This window comes from Homo sapiens, chromosome X (genome assembly GCF_000001405.40).
Source record: "Homo sapiens chromosome X, GRCh38.p14 Primary Assembly".
Taxonomy (NCBI): Eukaryota; Metazoa; Chordata; class Mammalia; order Primates; family Hominidae; genus Homo; species Homo sapiens.
In genome coordinates this window covers 32970126-32991754 of record NC_000023.11, presented here as the reverse complement: position 1 = coordinate 32991754, position 21629 = coordinate 32970126, and the positions used below count along the sequence as shown (strand labels likewise).

The 21629-nt window shown below is 35.6% G+C and overlaps 1 protein-coding gene across 17 annotated transcripts in view, besides 2 other annotated features; it reads left to right on the top strand.

The window, feature by feature from the left end:
- Positions 1-21629, top strand: part of DMD (dystrophin) — a 2220167-nt gene that overhangs the window by 347634 nt on the left and 1850904 nt on the right.
- Positions 4102-4688: an enhancer, noted in NCBI's record as "OCT4-NANOG hESC enhancer chrX:33005184-33005770 (GRCh37/hg19 assembly coordinates)". NCBI's record gives its function as "activates a minimal SCP1, AML or CMV promoter by ChIP-STARR-seq in primed H9 embryonic stem cells {active_cell/tissue: H9 hESC(primed)}" and the evidence as "EXISTENCE:reporter gene assay evidence [ECO:0000049][PMID:30033119]".
- Positions 15234-15733: an enhancer, noted in NCBI's record as "NANOG-H3K4me1 hESC enhancer chrX:32994139-32994638 (GRCh37/hg19 assembly coordinates)". NCBI's record gives its function as "activates a minimal SCP1, AML or CMV promoter by ChIP-STARR-seq in primed H9 embryonic stem cells {active_cell/tissue: H9 hESC(primed)}" and the evidence as "EXISTENCE:reporter gene assay evidence [ECO:0000049][PMID:30033119]".

Below are 21629 nucleotides of genomic sequence, written 5' to 3'. Positions count from 1 at the left end.
TTTTTAAGTCATAAAACATTTGTATGTTGGCTTTTAGATAGTAACAAGATGGCATCCATTTATCTGTATGCTTCTGCGCATACAACCTTATATGACATATGTACCAATAAAAAAAGTATACATGTATTAGTAATTAAATTCTAGACTTGTGCTGTCCAATTTGGTAGCCATTAGACAATGGCAAAAAATTATTTTGAATTTAAATTAGTGAAAGTAAAAGAAACTATGTTGTTCCTCCATTTTGCTAGCTACATTTGAAGTGCTCAGTAGTCACATGGTTTTAGTGGCCATCGTGTTATGTAGTGCATGTATAGAACATTTTTTGTTTTTTATCACCACCAAAAATTCTAATGGACAATGCTGGTTTAGCTCTTCAGTATTGCAAACTTTAGCCTTTAAAAGCTATTTGCAATTATTTAGCGTGTATTGTTTATGCTCCAAAATACTTTCATCTCAATGTAGAAAGAAAACGATTGCACTTTTGAATATAAGAGAAATCAAATCCTTGATTTTTTTCTACATAAAAACGTGGAATTTAAACTGAATTATTTAACAAAAATCAAAGTACCTTAGAAATAACCTGAAAAGAAAAACAAATTTTAGATAATATATATAATTTTGAAGTAGAAGAAAACTAAGATAAAACGTACTGCATTTGTATACTTTTATAGTTTTCTAATTATTATTATAATTGGAAAAAATGAATTTTAACAAATTAGGTATAATTATCACTGTGGTAAGCAGTCTCCAGAATGGTCCCAAATTAAGGTTGTCTGATTACGGAATACCATGTTCTTTTAAGTCCAGTAATCCCAACCTTTTCTAGGATAAAGCTTGGTATATGGAATCAAGATATGTATTCTTGTTATTCTTCTGTTACCATTACTGCTGTGGGTTTCAAGAACAGGCACATACAGTTTCTCCTTGTGTGACACAAACCTTGTGTGAATACTTTTTGGTACGCTTTCAAACTGGGGCAGCACTAGATGAATGCCTTTTCCCTAGGTATGCCTTTCAGTAAACTCTCCAGGTGAGAGGGGTGTAGTAAGTACTGCTTTACATGGATCTAAGTGACATGATTTGATCACAGTTCAGGTGGTTGTAGTTATGAACCATTTCATGTTAAATTAAGGTTTAGGGGTTTATTTTCTAAAATAATGCTACTTACAGTGACAGCATAGCATAGAATCTACAAGTTCTAAAGCAACTCAATAACTTCTCTTAAATGGCCCTTATTATTTTGGATTAGCATTTTGGATGACAACTAACTCCACTCCCTCTCTTGAAGGGAAAGAGATTTGGTAGAAATAATTGAATGAATCCTGGATTAATCTAGAATATGATTTTATCAATGACTGATGAATTACACTGCACTCAGTTGATAACGGTGTCTTCTTCTCTTAGAAATGTTGAGTTTGTTCCTATTATTATTTCAGGAGACAAAGCTTTTTAAAAGAGTTGGTCAACTGTAGCTAGGCATGAAAGCATGGTCTCTAAGAAGACACTTATAATTCCCTAAGTATTTGATTAAAAGGAAAACAAGTACCTCAAAAACTCTTAAGTTTATGTTATAGGCAAAGAAGTCCCCAAACAATTTAGTCAACACTCTGAAATAAACTCTTAAGAGTGGTGATTTTCACTTGGCATTTTGGAGATTCCATGTGTGGCAATGTGCTCCTCAATCAAGGAGTTACATTTCTATGTGCAGTAACATTGCAGTTGCACAATTAATACAAAAACAAACATATATTAATCAATGACAGGTTTTCTCATTTTCATACAGAGTTATGAAACCTTTAGGCTAAGGAACAGAATAGTGAGAAATTAGACAACTATTAATAATAGGATTAATTAGATTCTGGCCCTACAGCTAAGAAAATGGAGTGACAATCAGAATAACACCAAAGTTTTGCAAGTTGTCCAAGTGACAAAATACAACTAATTAATACTAATAAACTAAAGTCAAATTGGACTCTATTTACACAAAGTACTTTTTATATACAGGCAAAAATTTAAGTAGAAAAATTATGGCCTCCCAGAACTAATACCAAAAATTTAATGGTAAGAAAATGAACGTATTCATTTAATATATAACCACATCATTTGAAAATATTGAGCTCTCATTGTAAAGACATGACATTTTCTCTAAAATTAATATATTCCATAAAAATAGTTTTTAAAAGAGAAAGGCTTTGTCTTCATTCTTTTCGTGTGAAGGTCAAATATCTTAGATTGGAATTTAACTGCAGGAATTATGCTTCTGTTCTTACTTTAGCAACACTAACGATGACATTTTCTGAAGTACATATTGTTAACACCATCATGATGAAAGCAAATCATTTTTCTACACTTACTTTGATGCTAATCAGAGCAGTCATTTAAGTTGCTACATGACTCTGAGACAGAAATTTCAAAATGAAATTGACCACCGATTCCCAGACAAAACCAGAATAGTGGTGTCAGATGAGAAGGGTTTTGCAGTGTTTTGTCACATTTCATTTTGATTTTTACTTTTTTCTCTGTTTGACATATGTTCTGAACTAGAGTGCCATAAAGTTTTATCACCATAAGTTTGAAATGACCACATTACTCATGAGCTACAGAGTCACAAGTGAGTTTTTAGCTTCTTTCAAAGCTGTAGAAATAAAACTTTATAGTACCCTACCCTGGTATATGTTGTTTTATGTGACACATTTTGTTCCACTTTATTCTTTTCTTTTATTTCCCTTCATTATTTTCTTTTTGAATTATAGCAGAATTTGTATTAAATTTTTCCTAATACACAACAGTTTAAGCTACATTTTATAATATCTTATGTATTTTTTTCATACAGATTATCTTTGACCTGTAATGCCCATCTCTTAAAGAAATTTTAGATGGTCATTATAAACAAGGTTCATTGTGAAATATATTTCTGTTGAAACACTGATTTTATTACAAAAAGGTAATGTTTGATTTCCATGAGAACCAAAACTATTGGTTGAGATATGAAAGATGAACATTTGCTTCCCTTTACACAATTGATTAAAATTCTTAATGCATACATAGTCACACTACACAATTAGTGTAGTACATACATATCCGTATAACTTGAGTCTTCCATGTATATGTTATGCAATAGAACTTCTACAAAGACATCAATATCTCATGCTGAAACTATCCAAACTATAAAATGATTTTAGGATTAGCTTATCCCAAAGGGAAATTGTGAGCAATGTGGCTGGCCTGACAGCCTGAAGTGATATGCTCAGAGTGGATCTGATAGGCAGCCATTCATTTCAAGCTCAGGAAGCAAACTTATTATTTTGTCATACACGGTCGTTTTTCCATTGAAGACATTAAGACGGTAAAGAAAGTCCTCAGAGTCTATGGAAAGGATCACCAGACTTTCATTTTATCTCCAGATCTTGAACTGGAGCTTTTGAAGATTCCATTTTAGTGATTTCTGGAAGGCTGCTAATCTTAATGAATAAAGTCAGAAACACATGTGTGTGGCTGATTCAGATTCCAGAAAGAATTTTGGTTGCTATCATGATTATTTTTAAGGCATAAGTGATTAACGCTGAGATATACTGCTTTTCCTATTTGTGGATTAAATTTCTTCTATCGGAGAAGTTCTAATTGAAATGTCTCCATTCAATGTGGTTGTGCACACACACAAGTACACCCATGAATGATATTTTACATATGTAAAAAAAGAAAACCGATATTAAGTAACTTCTACTTTTCATTATGAGACATGCTGTGTGTGATTTTATATATATATATACACATATATATGTATATATGATTTTCCTGTGTTTTGTTAATCATTTTTTATCATTTTATAATTTTTACCATTTTCATCATTTTTTATTGTGTGGCTGATATATACTAGATATTACTCACTCAGGGAGGATACACCCTCATCTGGGCACTCTTTTATACAAGTTATGGCTTTTGTTTTAAATAATTCATCTAAGTTTAATGAAAGAAATAAGTGACTGCTTTATCCTAGAGAAGCAGCAAAGAGATTTTGTTCACCTGTGCCTTTAGAGACTACATGACAGCCTCTACAAGTAGCAGGGTAGAATCAGGTTGATTATAAAAGCCTTCATTTCATGCTAAATGGAAAGGAGAAAAGAAAGAATTTTCTCCTTTAATTAGAATGTGGCAGTTTAATGACAGAGGCACTATTGTTGTGGGTTAACATGGAATGAAATCAATTAAATAGGACTATGTATACTTAGGTGTCTGTAGGAATCACCAAAAATGTAACTCTCCAACAGTTTGCTGAATCTGCCTCTGTTTTGTCTGGCTGCTATACTTGGTATGTGGGCCATCTGGCTCCTGGATTCCAGTAAGGTTTGCATATTCACACATCAATCAGAAGTGGTGTAGGGCCTATTAGGAAGCACCAGCCAGTTAGGTGACATGCCAGGACTGCAAAGCACTCAAGCAGGAATGCCAAGTGGGGAGCTTCTGCTGAAGCTGACGCTGACACGGGCATTGGAGGCACCTTTTGATCCGTCTAGCTTTACTGTTGATGTCACAGTCCTGCTAGATCAGGCATAGGGATGTCAGGTCACGTAAGGCCTCATTTATGTCATTGGTTTTGCCTGGATAATTCAAATGGAGCAAAAATAAAAGTGATCTTGATCCTTAGGTCCCATGACTTTTGATAGTAGAAGGATCATTGATCTGAAATTGTCTTGCATTCCTGACTAGTAGACAGAAAGATATCAGAAGCAACTTTGTCTATTCTGTTTCTAGAACTATATTGTGGGTACTAGTTTTTCACAGTAGTACTAGACATTTCAGAAACAGCTACCGAATAATCTTTCCAAATAAAGGGAAAGGTTGTAATAAAATGCATTCCCATTCCCTATGTCTTCTCAAACAGTTCACTGAAACTTAAAGGGATGAGCACACTTTACAAGAAATGCAAATAACCTTTTAGTTCACTGAAATAAGATAAACAACACATGTGTGTATTTTTAATTGGAAGCTCTATCATTCAGTTCCTTGAACTAACAGCTACTATACTTTTCTTTTGATGTATGCTTCACAGATATCCATTGCAAGTTTTAGATTGTTTGCTTCAATGTAGATAAGACAAATTAACTGAAAACTTAAAAAGCACCTAGAGGATTGGTTATTTTAATGTTTTTTAGACCTCTGGATGCTTTGATCCCATACAGAATAGGATGAAATTCCACTATAATGGCATTGTTTTAAAATTTGAATTGGCCGTAATGTGTTGTGTGTGCACACATTTATCTAGCTATGAACACAATTAATACTCACTGAGAGAGCTCTTTAAAATGATGACATAATTTTTTTCTTTGAAAAGTTATTTCTTACGCCCTAAATTTCTAAAGTCACCAAAAAAAGGTAATTTTCTATATGTAAGACTTATTTATAGTAACTAAATTTCTAAGTAACTGATATCTCCTAAACAGAAATGTCTAATAACTTACTTCTAGATCAGCTTTAACAATGGTTTTGATTTATCTAACTTAGTGCAGTAATACAAATATTAGTAGTAAAATAATACAAGTTTAACTAACTTGGTATAATAATAGGAATAATATAATTGCTCATGTTTGATGTATGCTAACTACTTGGCACCATTAAGTACATCACATGTATTATTTCACTTTTCTCATTAAAATAGCAGTGTGATGCTATTATCTCCATTTTACAGAGAGGGAAAGTGAGGCATGGAGAGAAGTCGCAATTTAGAAAAGTAATAAGTATAATACTTATTTTAATTTTAAATTATTCTTTGCTAGAGGAAAGATGCATGTTCCTTGGACATCTTCTATACTTTAATAATATTATTTCTATGTTTCTAGCAACCCCCACAATGAAAAGCAAATACACGATGCCTTTGGGGGACAAAGCAGTTCTGTAGTCAGGCCCACACATGAAGTGTTTTACCTTTATAGGTTTCAACAATTAATTGGAATAAGCTATTTTTTCTGTTTTGGCATCTGTCTACTTGGCAAGGCCCCCAACTGTGGTGTTGGCAGCTGCATGACAGCGACTGCCTCTGGTTTTTCCACAGCAACTGGCTGAAACTCGCCTCCCTGGGCTGTCCTATTATGTTGAAAATTATTTTCTTTGACTCAAATCAGAAGAGTGTAATAGAAATTGTGAAAATTCCTGACATCTTCCCAAAGATGTTTTTGAAATAGGTTAAGGTTCTCCGGGAGTAAACTTGGATTCTAAATATGATTTTTTTTTTCTGACAGATGTATGCATGTGTTATGGTAGGTATTCAGAAATGAATGCTCTCATTTGTAAAATAAAATAAAATAATCCCAAACTCTTAACTATAGCAATTTGTGGTTTTAATCGTTTTCCCTTGTAAATGGAAACTTGGTAAGTTTTAGAGTGCATTGTACATGATAAAATACATCTTATGTCTAAAATCTTAGAAAATATTATCTTGCATTGGGGAAAACATCATAATAGTGCATATGTGATTCATTTTATGTAAAGTCCTAAAATTATCTAAATTAAAATATCTATATTCTATAGCTGTGCATGTGTGTATGCACACACAAGAATATACACATCTGCATTTTATATAGATACAAGTATATTGAAAGGATGATACATTCTTATACAGATGTAGAGCTTAGGATTTCTTTATCAATATAAGATAGAAACTGCGAAAGCATGAAAATGAAATTAAGCATACTTCCTTTATTCACTTATCACCCGTTTTCAGAATTAGTTGCCCTATGGGTAGGTACCTTTTAAATTATATTGTACATCTTTCAATTAAATATCGGGAGGTTGAAAATTAAGTGACAATTCTAATATTTCTAGTGGAAGACCTGAAGCTGCACTATTAAAAAGCTAGTAAATGGAAGGGGAAGGATATTTCTTTATCCATGGAGTTAATTACACAAGCAGTACACTATGTAAGTGCTAGGAGAAAAGGTGATACAAACACTACTTAAAAGGTTTCCAGCGAGAAGCAGCTCTGAACAAAGTAGATTTAAAGTGTTACCTCCTTACTCCTACAAATTCTAATGGGAATCAATTATGTTCCATGAGTAATAATAATAATTAATATTTATGGAAGTGCTTACTATATGCTTGGCTCTGAAATAAGGGCTTCACATATTATAGCACATAACTATCCTAAGTAGAAGATACTATTTTTACTTCCCTTTTTATAGATAGGGAAAGTAAAACACAGAGGTGGGCCGGGCACGGTGGCTCACTCCTACAATCCCAGCACTTTGGGCGGCCAAAGCGGGTGGATCACCTGAGGTCAAGAGTTTGAGACCAGCCTGGCCAACATGACAAAACCCTGTCTCTACTAAAAATACAAAAATTAGCCGGGTGTGGTGGTGGGTGCCTGTAATCCCAGCTACTTGGGAGGCTGAGGCAGGAGAATCGCTTGAACCTGGGAGGCGGAAGTTGCAGTGAGCCGAGATGGCGCCATTGCGCTCCAGCCTGGGGAACAGGAAGGAAACTCCATCTCAAATAAGTAAATAAATAAATAGCACAGAGGTTAAATAACTCTCCTACACTCACACACTCCATGTGTCTCTGGTGATCACTTGGTACCACTTCTTTTCTTGCATGTCTCACCTCTCTTATAAACACATTACCAATTTTAAATGGGTGTTATGAACTATGTGTATTAATTATGGCTGAGAACCACCATTTTTAATAACATGGAATTTTCTTTAGCTGGCAGGGAAGGAATGCTTCCAGTTTAAAAAAAACGGTAAAGGACATAGCTTTAAACAGAAAAGACGCTTTGAAGATAAGTTCATGTCCATAAAGTCCATTCAAATAACTTAGTAAATTGCTGATAAGGTCATATCATGTAGCATTTTTTAAAAATAAGATTGCTGAAAGTTCAGCTTGCTCTGAGTAAACACAGAGCAAGATGATTCTCAATTATATAGTGAATAAAATCAATAAGAACATCTAGTGAAATCCAAACAGAAAATAAAAAAATCAAAATTGACTTTTAAAAAAATTGACATTTTATGGAGATAATTGTAGATACATATACAGTTAATAAGAAATAATACGGATATCCTATGTACACTTTACCATTTTTTCCCTAAAGTTAATATTTTGCAAAACTATAATATAATATCACAGCCAGAATATTGACATTACTACAATTCAGCAATTTTATTCAGTTTCTCTCGGTGTTCCTATATGTGTGTGTGTGTGTGTGTGTGTGTGTGTGTGTGTGTGTGTGTGTGTATTTAGTTCTGTACAGTTTCATCACATGTGCAGGTGTAGGGGAATTGGATATCACCTCCAATCCCCCTTTTAGTTCTTAGTAGGCTCTTCAGTTGGATCTAGAAACCAAATCGACATCAGGCAGAAAACAAAAGAAAAGAATACAAATTGTATTACTTATACATGTACGTGGAGATCATCACAAGAAAGTGAAGCCTGAAGAAGTAGTCAAAGCAAGATGCTTTTAATGATGAATGATGAATTTGATGAATTTGGAAAGCAATGACAGGATAAAGAGAATCTGGCTAGGGACAGTAAATTTTCTCTAGGGGAGTCACTAGGAGATAGATAGTGGGTATAAAACTAGTGAAAGATAAGGGTTACTTCAGTAAATATATTTATTCAGGTCCATTGAAGCCTCCAATTCTAAGTCTCTGGTAATAAGGGCTATTTTCTCACTCTGGTCCTGTGAGGGTGCCCCTCCCAGAGGAATCTTTATGGTTTGCTGCATGTAGGAAGAGACAGGTGAGCTAACTCTTTCTGAAACTACAATTTCTCCAAAGTTTCCAACTGAAAATAGCCAACATACCAATCTGGCATATTTGGGGATGGAACATCCTTTACTCCTTCACAGGTATCTGTGGATGAGAGCTGAAGCAGGCCCACCAGGAACAGAGAGTGTTTCCCCTTACTGTTGGCAATTCTCTGGATTGCATCTACCCATCCTGTCCTAGAAAGTGTCAGGAGAACCTGATGTTGTCTCAGGGAATCCTCTTAGATGTGGAGAGATAAGCCTTTCTAGGCTGCTTTCGACTGCTGGTTGTGGGTCTCGAAATGGTGAGTCTGGGTCACTTGCTTCTATTAAGTGAAAAGATGTAAGTCACTCAACTTCTGCTCCAGACCCAGTAAACCAAAACTCCGTCGTCTTCTTCTGACTACCTTCAGAGTTATCTTGGGTTTATTCCTGCATTATTACCAGCATTTGTTGCTGTTTTAGTGGGAAGAGGAAGGGAAAAATGGGTCGAAGTTATCTTACCCTTACCAGAAGTTCCTAAATAGACTTTTTCATGAGAAAGAATATTTTTAAAAAACTGTTTATATTATAAATATTCTTGGTAGTTTTTTTGCTGTTACATATTTTTTAAAAATCCATAGTGCAGATATAATAAAAACTATTGCAGGTATTTAAATTAACAGAACTAGTTGAATTCCTACAACGTGTCATGTACAGTGCTAGGTTGGTTGATCTGTCTGTGCTTCTGCTTTACTTGGAATGGATGAGCAAAGGCTTATACTAATTTGCACTTAGTATTATAATGAGGTGTGAGAAACCAATTTTCATATTCAAGTGTCTATAAAAAGTGACTATTTTTCAACAGTTAGCTCCTTTAATTATAAAATCAGTTTTTATTAAAGGCAGTTGATGCTTTGTGTGTTGTTGCTAGGGTGACATATATTATAGAAACATACAGTTTATCTTTCCAGTAAGAGGGAATACAGTCTCTATCTTACCGTTAATACTTTAATTAGAGAATGATCGACAGAAAAATCTTTTTTCTCTTCATGAGATTTGAAAAATGCATATCTTCTTTATCTGCATTTAATCAACCCTGGGTTCATTAGGATTTGTTGTGTTGGCACCTGAGAACATCTTAGAAATTATTAAATAATTCATTTTCTGCTTTTTTTCTTTATTTTTTATTTCCAGCAGAGGCTTGTATTAAGGAGATTCTCTTTTGACATACCCCCACATACATTCACACTAATATATATGCACTATTTTCAACTGACATGTTTTAGAGTTATTGAGATATTAATTTTATAGGATACTATCACATTTTATAGCTCTTAGTAAATAGTATGGTATTTCAAAACATAATTTAGTTATAGTAATAGAAATAATCCATCATATTTGTTGTATTTATAAAATGTCTTCAAAAATATCATATAAATGATATCTGAAATTTTGTCCTAGTCTTGCAAATGCTAGGGGATTAATATTAATAAGGTTGTTGTCAATATAAATTTCTAGTGAGATGCTCATTAACTGGAAATCCAGTGCTAGAGAGACATTTCAGAATACCTAAACCTTATTTAGAGACAAATAAACATACTAGTTAATATGGCTATTGCTATGAACCGCATAAAATTGAAATTTGCCCGAACTCATTCAGCTAAGCATGCTAACCTCGGCTTTGGAAAAGATTGAATGGCCTATCATCAGTCAATCTTGGTACTAGAGTTAAAAGAAGAGGCAAGTAATATGGACAGCACAAGGAAAATGACAGAAATAGCGGCTTGTGATGATAATTAGCAAGAAGTTTGAATAAGCAAACTCTAAAGAATATTGAAAATGAGACAAAAACTGTTAATGTATATGCAATTAAATCTTTGGACCCTCCTTGCTTGTTGTTTCAAATATCCAATTGTGGAGAGAACTACGCTAGGGTAATAATATTGCCCGTTTTCCCTGTCCCTCCATGTACTCCAATTAAGAAAGCAGAAATGAACCATCTACCCTGATTTTTGGAGGAGGAATTGAGTAGGTATGGCTTCATGCTCTTTAAATTGGGGTTAAGCCCCCATGATATAAATTATATAGGGAATGCTTCTTCTTCCATTTAATGCTTACTAATGGATGTCACTAGGCAAATTATTAGCAAACATACATAATAAGAAGACTTAATGCTATGTTCGCTGATAACAGCTTTATCATTAGTAAAGGAGATATTTTCATCTCTATTCGTCTGACTCCTATATGTGCGGCTTAATTGATTACGAACCTAGGTGGGGAATAGATTTAATAATTTTCTCAAACTCCATCTATAAGTAATATGAAGACATGATAAATTTTTAAGCAGAAAAATGAAATGAAAAATATTATGATTCGGAAAATTTGTTTCCTTGTACTATGAAGGATACTTGGGAGCAGGTTGGAGAAGAGGGTGAAGGAACCGTTTGGGGGACGCGTCAGTAAAACTGGTGGTAGAGACTAGGCTGAAGGATGATAGTGGGAATGGAAAAGTGAAGACATTTGAAGGGAAGAAGACATTGTGTCGGAGTTCTAACGATGTTCATTTGTGCATAAAACTTGCATTTGTCTATCTTATTGTACTTTATATATTCTTCCTAATACCCTGTACTCCATTTTACTCCTTTTTTTTTTTTTTTTTTTTTTTTTGAGACAGAGTCTGGCTCTGTCGCCCAAGCAGGAGTGGTGCAGTGGCGCGATCTCGGTTCACTGCAACCTCCGCCTCCTGGGTTCAAGCATTCCTCGCGCCTCAGCCTCCCGAGTAGCTGGGATTACAGGCGCCTGCTACTACACCAGCCTAATTTTTCTGTTTTTAGTAGAGACGGAGTTTCACCACGTTGGCCAGGCTGGTCTCAAACTCCTGACCTCAAGTGATCTGCCCGCCTCGGCCTCCCAAAGTGCTGGGATTACAGGCGTGAACCACCTCGCCTGGCCCCTGTACCCCATTTTCAATATGGCAAATGGAATAAATGTTTTTACAACATTTATTTGACTGTTGTTTATAACTCTTCAATAGCTGTCCATTACTGTAAAGTTTATGCCACAACCTATAGGGCTCTACCTTTTAACAGCTATCTCTTTCTGATTTTCCACTTCTCTCCAACCTCCCTCCCTAAATTACGGTGATACTGATTTTCTTTTAAAATACAGGACTACTATCAGCCTCCTTTTTCATCTTTTAGGCCACAACTTAATGTTTCTTCCTCAGAGAAATTTCTAAAGGACCCAAACCCACAATAGCTTCTATATGAGACTACTTCTCCCATTATATATCTTCCAGGTATCCTGTAATCTCCTTTACAACAGCCAGCAGAATTGAAGTACACTATTTGTCAACCAAAGGTGTGAAGCTTCTTCTTACTCCTGGTGTTTGTGGTTTTATTGACTCTTCTTTGTTTTCTTTACCAGTGAGATCCCATCTACATCTTTCAGTATTTTCACCAGTATCTTGGTCTTTTGCTTGCTTGCTTTCTTGTTTTCTAGGTTGATTATAATTTTATTCCTCTAAACACATGAATACCTTCCGTCATTCCAATGGAATTTTGGACAAAAGGGAAAAAGTTATAAGTGCCAATTTGGTTGCCATGAACCAAAACAGAAAATTAAATACAATTGCCTAGATAATCAGGCCCAATTTGTATTACCTAGTATGAAAAACACTTTGGTAACAACAGTAGGTCATGTTAAACTAATTAATTTCTAGGAACATTGATAAATTAAACATTGGTTACTCTCCAGAGTAACTCTAAGCCCAGAAAATAAGTGACTTGTACATCCATCATCTGATTCAGGTTCAAAGAGAGTTTCTTTATTTTGGCAAAGCCAACTTTACTGAAATGAGATGAGAAGATTTCTGTTGCCAATTTATAATGGAGATTAAAAATAAGACCCCATTGTCAGAGTTGGAGATCATATGTTGGTAATTGTGGTTTTGTACAAAATTAAGAATTGATCCCTAAGAACTTGTAAATTATAAAGACTTTGTTTAGCTCAGTCACATTTGCCTAATCTAAGATTTCTGTCTAGGAGAAATAATTTTCTAGATGGAGTCAACTAGTACACCTAGTTTAAGTCTTCTTTATGTGAGATTGTGTTTAAAACAGTGACTCTTTTGGCCATAGTTACAATGAGTTCTTCAAGGGTTGTGTATTTGCAGACTATCAGTGGAAAGCACTTGAATGGCAATAGTTGGAAATTTTGAAGCAAAGGAAATAAAATTGTTACTTGAAACCTTGTAAAAAGATCATACGGCCGGGCGCAGTGTCTCATGCCTGTAATCCCAGCACTTTGGGAGGCCCAGACAGGTGGATCATTTGAGGTCAGGAGTTGGAGACCAACCTGGCCAACATGGTGAAACCCGTCTCTACTAAAAATATAAAAATTAGTTCAGTGTAATGGCGCACGCCTGTAATCCCAGCTACTCAGGAGGCTGAGGTGGGGGAATCACTTGAGCCTGGGAGGCGGAGGTTGCATCGAGCCGAGATTGCACCACTGCACTCCAATCTGGGTGAGAGAGTGAGACCCTGTCTCAAAAAAAAAGATAAATTTTTAAAAATCCATGCAAAGAGCTTGCTATTTTGCTATTTTAGGGAGGGAGCATGAGCTTCATACTCACTTGGAATTTCCTGAGATAAAGGCAGAAATAGAATTGGAAAATATTTAATATAAATCTGAAAAGATAAGGCATTTCTCTTAGAAGAAGTTTCTAAGCAAGGCAGCTATATAGCAAAGGGTGAGGTATATATCCCTGGCTGCCTCTTAGCACAGGGAACTGGCACCACGGGGCCTACACTGGCCCAAGAGTTCTTCAAAGATAATTGTGTTCCCACAACTTTTCTCTGTGTAGTAAACTCTTCCTGCCCTGTAGCAGTCCGCCCAGTTCATGAAAACCATGGGATTTGACCCACTGAAGAAGACTTTTCTCTTAAAGTTTTTCCTGTTTATCCAGGTTTTACCCAGTAAAGGTCAGCTATAACTGGTAATAGTTTTGTCAATGTTTCCATACCTTGGGACAAAGTTCCTTATTTGCTCGGTATTTCCTCTCAAGTTTTACTTGGCATTTTGAAATTTGAAAAAAATTCTATGTTTTTCCTGGCTGTGAAAATGTATTTTTTCTTTAGTATTTGATATTCAATTTATAAAATAAGACTTAAAGCAGCTAGATATTTGCCCATCGTTATGTTTAGTGGAATGAAGAACTAATCAGCTACTACTAGTCTTGTTCCAATTAACATTCTATTCCTCCATTTCCTTCCCACACTGATATATGTACATATATAGATATCAGTGTGATATATATATATATCACACATACATATGCTCATATATACATATATATCTTATATAAGTCTTTGACCTTTCTAAGGGTCAAACACCATGTTTTTCACAATCTAGGCAAGCTGCTACAAGGAAGGAAGAGTCTATTATACACAGAAAAGCTGCAGGAGCACAATTATCTTTGACAATACACCTTATATTGGTATTTTATTTTTTTTCTGAAATTACTCTGGGTTGAGTCTTATATTTAGTTTCTAATTGTGAAGGAAAGCCCTGTAATGACCTGGTGATCCATCTTCTTTAGAACCAAGTCGGCCACAGTCCTAAAATAAACATCTGAAGGCATAGGAACATTTACAGATGAAAATCATAATTTAATCAATTGGGTGTATTATCTTATTTTCTAAATATGTATACATTATTTCTTTTTTTCTTTTTTGTGAGATGGAGTCTTGCTCTGTCACTCAGGCTGGAGTGCAGTGGCATGATCTCGGCTCAATGCAACCTCCGCCTCCTGGGTTCAAGCGATTCTCCTGTCTCAACCTCCTGAGCAGCTGGGACTATAGGGGTGTGCCACCATGCCCGGTTAATTTTTGTATTTTTATTGTAACAGTGGAGATGGGGTTTTGCCACGTTGGCCAGGCTGGTCTCAAACTCCTGACCTCAAGCGATCCGCCCCACCTTGGACTCCCAATGTGTTGGGATTACAGGTGTGAGCCACCACGCCAGGCTACCGTGTTTCTTTTAAAAACTTTTTTTCTTCTATGTACCGTATAGGTTTTAACCCTGTAAGACTGAACACCCTCTTTTGTAAGACATATTTTGTAATACTCCCATTACTATCCTCAAAGAGAATTTACCAAAAATGTAACTTACATATATATATAAAATTCTAAAACAATTACCTTGTAAAAAATAAATCAAAGGACAATAATGAATTAAAAATAATGGATATATTTATCATCAATAATTAATTATTCAATATGAAAATAAGAAAGGTACATACTGCTCTAGATAAATGTAGTACCTGTACCTAAAACCACAGAAGTAGACAGCTCGAAATGCTGACGTATGCAGGTGAGTGGTATGAATGATTAAAATGCCATGAACAGCATATTTTAAAGTAATGGGATTTTTCTGTATGATTAATAACATTTGGTAAAGTTCTGAATAAAATAAGTGCACATTTTCCCTTTGATTTATTGTGGGATAGTTTCATTCTTGGAAAATGCAGTGCATATAAAGACTTTGTATTTATATGTAAAATTGAGCTAGGTTCTATATATTCACATACTTATAAACAGGCTGTCCCCTACTTTTCAAAAGCTGAATAGGACATGAAACAATTACTCATTTTCCTGGACTTTCCTGCGTGTTACTGGATGTCTGGCGTCCTTAGAGCACCTTTCCATCCGTTATGGGGACAATCACAGTGCTTTCACGTTTCTTAAATGTACCCAGGGTATGGTGGTGTGCCCAGTTGAGAGGAACTGCAAGTGAGGGTTGTATTTTTTTTTTTTTGAGACGAGTCTCGTTCTATTACCAAAGCTGGAGTGCAGAGGCGCGATCTCAATTCACTGCAACCTCCGCCTCCCAGCTTCAAGCGATTCTCCTGCCTCAGCCTCCCGAGTAGCTGGGATTACAGGCTTGCGCCACCACACCCAGCTAATTTTTGTATTTTTAGTAGAGATGGGGTTTCACCATGTTGGCCAGACTGGTCACAAACTTCTGACCTCAAATGATCCACCTACCTCGGCCTCCCAAAGTGCTAGGATTACAAGCATGAGCCACCGTGCCAGGCCAGGGATTGCATTTTTGCATCGAAGTAGCAGAAACTAGAACCAGAGGATTTTAACTTTCTCATATGATGGAATCTGAAGGAATGGAGTCTAAAGCAAGAAACTGGCCCTGTGATGGCATGAAAATCCCAGGCCCCTTTGATCTTCTTGCTCTTTTACACCTTACTATCATTCTCATGCTTGTCAACTCTTGGTTGCAAGATGATGGTTTCAACATCTCCAGCCTCAAGTCTTACATTTCAGAGCAGAAAGATGAAAAAGGAAGCAAGAAGAAGGAAGAGGCAGCATGTACATCAGGAAAACAAAACTATCCCAGAAATCCCTAGCTGTCGTCCTCTCAGATGCCAAAAGGCCATGACTGGGTGCCAGAGATGCTTGAAATAGAGCTCTTTGTTCTTGCTTGACACCTTGCTACTTCTAAACAAAATCACGATTTTGTTGTTGAGAGAAAAAGGACTCCTCCCTATCTACTTGTCCTGAGACTGCTTCAGCCTCTCAGCTTCCTAGACCCTCATGCAGTTGATTTCCAATTCTTCCAGGAGCTGGCTTACTGTCTACTTTTTCAGGGTTTCAAAAAAAAAAAAAAAAAAAAAAAGCATTTTTTAAAGTTTAAAAAGCAAAATGTGGAGTGAATATTTTTTGGTTACTATGCTTTTTAAATTTTTAGAATTTGTTTTTACTGTGGGTTGGCTGTTAATAGTCCATCAAGACAACTATTTCTTTGCTGGGTTTATTGGATATTGGGCAAGCAAACAAGCAAATAGCAGTATCTGCCACTGGATGTAATCAGGAAGAAATTTTCAGAAAAAAAAAATGATGCTTCAAGGTCTAGATAAGCAGATTTTCCACTGGTTCCTGATTATTCTAAATAAAATGTTTAGTCAGTGGTTGTGTAAGTTTCAAGGATGTTATAGATGGCTCTTGAAAACAATAACACATTAACCTAATATTTTCAGTACTCCTTTTTCTAGCTTCATTTATCCTCTCCCATGCCTGTAAACATGTTACTTTGTTAACCAAATAAAGTCATTAATACATGAGACCATTTTGCCAAAAGTAAACTTAAAATTAGGAGGAATTGGTCTTTCAGAAGGCAAGAAGAGACCAAGATGAAAGGAAGTCATTTTTGTGAACCATATGTTTTGACCCAGAAGAACTATTTCACAGCCTTTCTCCTGGTAGCAAACAATGAGGGAAACAGTTTCTTACCATCTGCACAATAAAACTTGTTGAATCACTCGGGAATTGGGATTATTGCTACTGTTTGTTTGTTGTTAAGCCTTAAATTTAAAAAAAGACAGGATATATAAGCAGGGTTGGTTCTAATACTGAAATAAAACAAAAATGAACAAACCCAGAGAAATCTGCTTCCAAAAAGCCACAGCACAACAAAAAGAGGTGTAAACATCAGAAGACCTCAAGGGAAAAATACGTTTATTTAGAAATGGGATATCCTGGGGATTTTGTTACAGCAGCTTTATTAAGATATTATTCACATACTGTAAAATTCACTCTCTAGAAGTGTACAATTCAGTGTTTTTTCAGTATGTTCACAGAGCTATGCAACTATCATCACTATCTAGTTGCAGAATACTTTCATCATCCCCAAAAGAAACTGTATGCCCATTAGCAGTCACTCCCCATTCCTCTCTCCCTCTAGCCTCTGGCAACCGCTACTCTGTGTTGTGTCTCTATAGATCTGCCTATTTTGGACATTTCATATAAATGGAATCATACTATATGTGGCCTCTAGTGTCTGTAATCTTTCATTTTGCATAATGTTTTTAAGGTCCATTCATATTGTAGAATGTATCAGTCTTTCATTCCTTTTATTTGCTAAATAAAATTTCATTGTATGGATATACCAAATTTTGTTTGTCCATTTATCACCAGTTTACGGGTATTCGTAAGGCTTTTTTTTCCCACTTTTTGCTTCCAGTAGACTTTTTGTATGTCACAAATGGCCATATGTTTCTTTATCCCATAATCAGAATAAAAATTATCATTCTTTTAGTGGACGTGCCTTTTTTTAATCAAGGCACAGAAATAAAAAAGTGAGTTGTATTTTCTCATTAAGAAAACATTTTGGGGTGTGCATGTTTTCAGTTGTTTGGAAATATGTAGACATATTGGCAGGGTATCCCACTTACTTTTGCTGTGTATAAAATCACCCTGATACTTAGCAGTTTAAAACAATTACTTTATTATGCCGTGGATGCTGTGAGTAATAAATTCAGATAGGACACAGCAGGGATGTTCTGTTTATGCTCTGCAATATCTATAGCCTCATCTGTCAAGACTTGAAAGCTAAGTTGGACTCAATGGCTGGAGGGTGGAATTCTGAAGGCCTACATGTGAACTTGCTATGTTGTTTGGCTTCTTCCTAGCATGGTGGCTTTACGATACTCACACATTTTCTATGGTAACTCAGGGTTCCAAGCAAACGCTGTTCTAGCAAACAAGGTAGTAGTCATATGGTCTTTTATGACCCTGCCATGGAGGGCACAAAACATTACTCTTGCCATCCTCTATCTGTTGAAGTAGTTACAAACTCACCCAGATTGAAGAGGAAAGGACATAGACCCTACCTTTCCATTTGCCAATGAGTTTTGGGACCATATTTTAAAACCATTGTGCCATAAAGGGCATGTTTTATGACAGGTGAAGCTTTACGTCTTAAAAGTATATAATTACAAATGATTAAATTTAAAATCACGAGAATAAACCATTGCATTCATCTACCATCTTGCCACTAAATCAGAATCAGTAAAACAAGGTCAAATTGACTAGAAGCCACATATAGTTGACATTTGGAAGAATTTGACAGAAATATGGCTCAATTGGAGTTACTGAATTTAAACCAAAACGTTTGGCACCAAGAATCATGGGAGCCCAGACTAAAGAGGAAACATACATTATATAGCTCTTATTATCTAATGGTGAAAATCCTATCAAATCTCCACAAAGGTGGTGAACTCTGGTCTTCCATGGCATCCTAGACAAACTTTATTTACAGGCATGTATGGTATATAAAATAGGCATAGATAATAAATATAATAATCCAGAACAATGATAAAACAGCTACTATGTCAAGGTACCATCCTAACCTCACTTATAATCAGGCATTAAATTCTCATAAGAATCCTATGAATTAGACACCATTATTATCCATATTTAACATATGGAAAGAAACTAAAGTACGGAGATGCTAATGAACTTACCCATCGTCCCACTAATAAATGTTAAAGTCAGGATTTGAACCTAGATGCTCAGGCTCCAAAGCCTATGCTCAAAACTCTTGCTATGTGAATACTGGCATATTACTGAATAAAATAGCCCCAGTTTTGTTTTTAAATAAAAAATGTTGATCAATTTTTTTCAATAAAATATTGTTTCATCACAATAAGACCTACTTATTTTCCTCCTGAGCAGTTTTTAGTGACATCAATAACAATTTTTTTAGGCTGGGCACAGTGGCTCATGCCTGTAATCCCAGCACTTTAGGAGGCCAAGGTGGGCAGATCACTTGAGCTCAGGAGTTTGAGGCAAGCCAGGGTAACATGGCAAAACCTCACCTCTATAAAAAAAATACAAAAATTAACAGAGCGTCGTGGTGCATGCCTGTATTCCCAGCTACTTGGGAGGCTGAGGTAGGAGGATCTCTTGAGCCCGGGAGGTCAAGGCTGCAGTGAGCCATCATTGCACCATCGCACTCCAGCCTGGGCTACAGAGCAAGACCCTATCTTAAAAAAAACCAAAAAAATTATAAGCGAGTCATACAAGTTCTTCACAGCTTTTCATTATGGTAAACCTTGATTAAAAGCCAAGGTTATAAATGTAATTTTTGCTAAGTGCGGATGTATTGTATCTGTAGCAAACTGTAATTCAGGCCCCTGAATGTAACATCCTAGCTCTCATTCCTTTTGCTGTCAGATTTCCCTATAGATAACGTCTACATCTGCTACCTTATCTACTCGCAAATATTTATGATTTTCTTCCATGAAATTTACTTTTCTCCCCTGAACCTGTAAGCCAAATCAAGTGACCTTTTGTGAATCTCAAACCTCTGTGAATTTTAGGTAGATTTAATATTCTTGGCCACCACTTTCTATTCAGTCAAATTCAAGAATTCTATAAAGTTAAATATATATGGATGTGTGCACACATATATATATATGTGTGTGTCTCTAGGTCATGAATCTTTTAATACTATAGAACATAGAACATAGAAAATTATAAGAGAAATTAAAATATATTGTCAATTTAAAAGCATACCGAAAACATGTTATATGAGAATGGAATAATACAAATTATTGGTATGGGGAGAAGAATCATGAATAGTTTCATGAGGAATGTGGCATGTGTAACAGGCATTAAATATGATTAAGAACTAACACTGAGTATATACAAGTTAGCTGTATCAATAAAAATGTAAATCATTCAGCAATAAACTATAAAGTTATTTTTACTCCATAAGGGTTTTTTTCCCTGAAATTTTCGGCCCAAAGTGACTGTTTTTTCTTCACATGCCACTTATATAGTGTGACCAAGTATTTAGTTAAAAAAATTATTCTCCAGTCAAATCATTTGTTGTACACTTCTTGGAGCTGTGGCTTGCTTGTGTTTTTATTGATTAAAAAATACAGCACAATCTTGCACCTAATAAAAACCTAACAAACTGGCTGAGTGCGGTGGCTCACGCTTGTAATCCCAGCACTTTGGGAGGCCAAGGCAAGCGGATGACTGGAAGTCAAGAGTTCAAGACCAGCCTGGCCAACATGGTGAAACCCCATCTCTACTAAAAATACAAAAATTAGCCTGACCTGGTGGCAGGCATCTGTAATCCCAGCTACTCAGGAGGCTGAGGCAGGAGAATCACTTGAACCCGGGAGGCAGAGGTTGCCATGAGCCGAAATTGCGCCACTGCACTCCAGCCTGGGCAACAAGAGTGAACCTCTGTCTCAAAAAGGAAAAAACAACAACAATAACAGAAGAAACCCAGTAAATAATAGGAAAAAAGTGAATATAGAAAAGTAATAGAAAATGGTTGCCTTTGTGAGGTTAGATGTAACCAAAATATTTTAGCAATTGTTTAGAACAAATAGATTAAATGAAAAATATTTCCATTAATATTTTAAACTGTTAAATTCTGTCTAATTTCACATGGTAGATACACATTCATTAAGACTTTTCAGTGTTAAGACTAAATAAAGAAAAAGAAAATTCTTCTTATTGTGCCTTATTCAGAATCCACTGAATTTCGTTATTATTTTTATTATCATTATCATTATCATTATCAGTATTATTTGAGATGGAGTCTCGCTCTGTCACCCAGGCTGGAGTGCAGTGGCGCCATCTTGGCTCACTGCAACCTCCGCCTCCCGGGTTCAAGCGATTCTCCTGCCTCAGCCTCCTGGGGAGCTAGGATTACAGGTGTGCGCCACCATGTCCAGCTAATTTTTGTATTTTTAGTATCTTATTTTTGTGGGTACACAATAGATATATATATTTATGGGGTACATGAGATGTTTTGATACAGACATGCAATGTGAAATAATCACATCATGGAGAATGGGATATACACCCCTCAAGCATTTATCCTTCATGTTACAAGCAATCCAATTACACTCTTTTAGTTATTTTTAAATTTACAATTAAGTTATTATTGACTATACTTACCCTGTTGTGCTATCAAATAGGTCTTATTCTTTAGCAAAGCATATTTGTAAAGAGTTTGGAGTTTCTCTTTGCTTTACACACTGTAAAAAAAAATGTCAAACAAGGTTATCCAAAGAGTAGTAGGAGAATGAGCATTG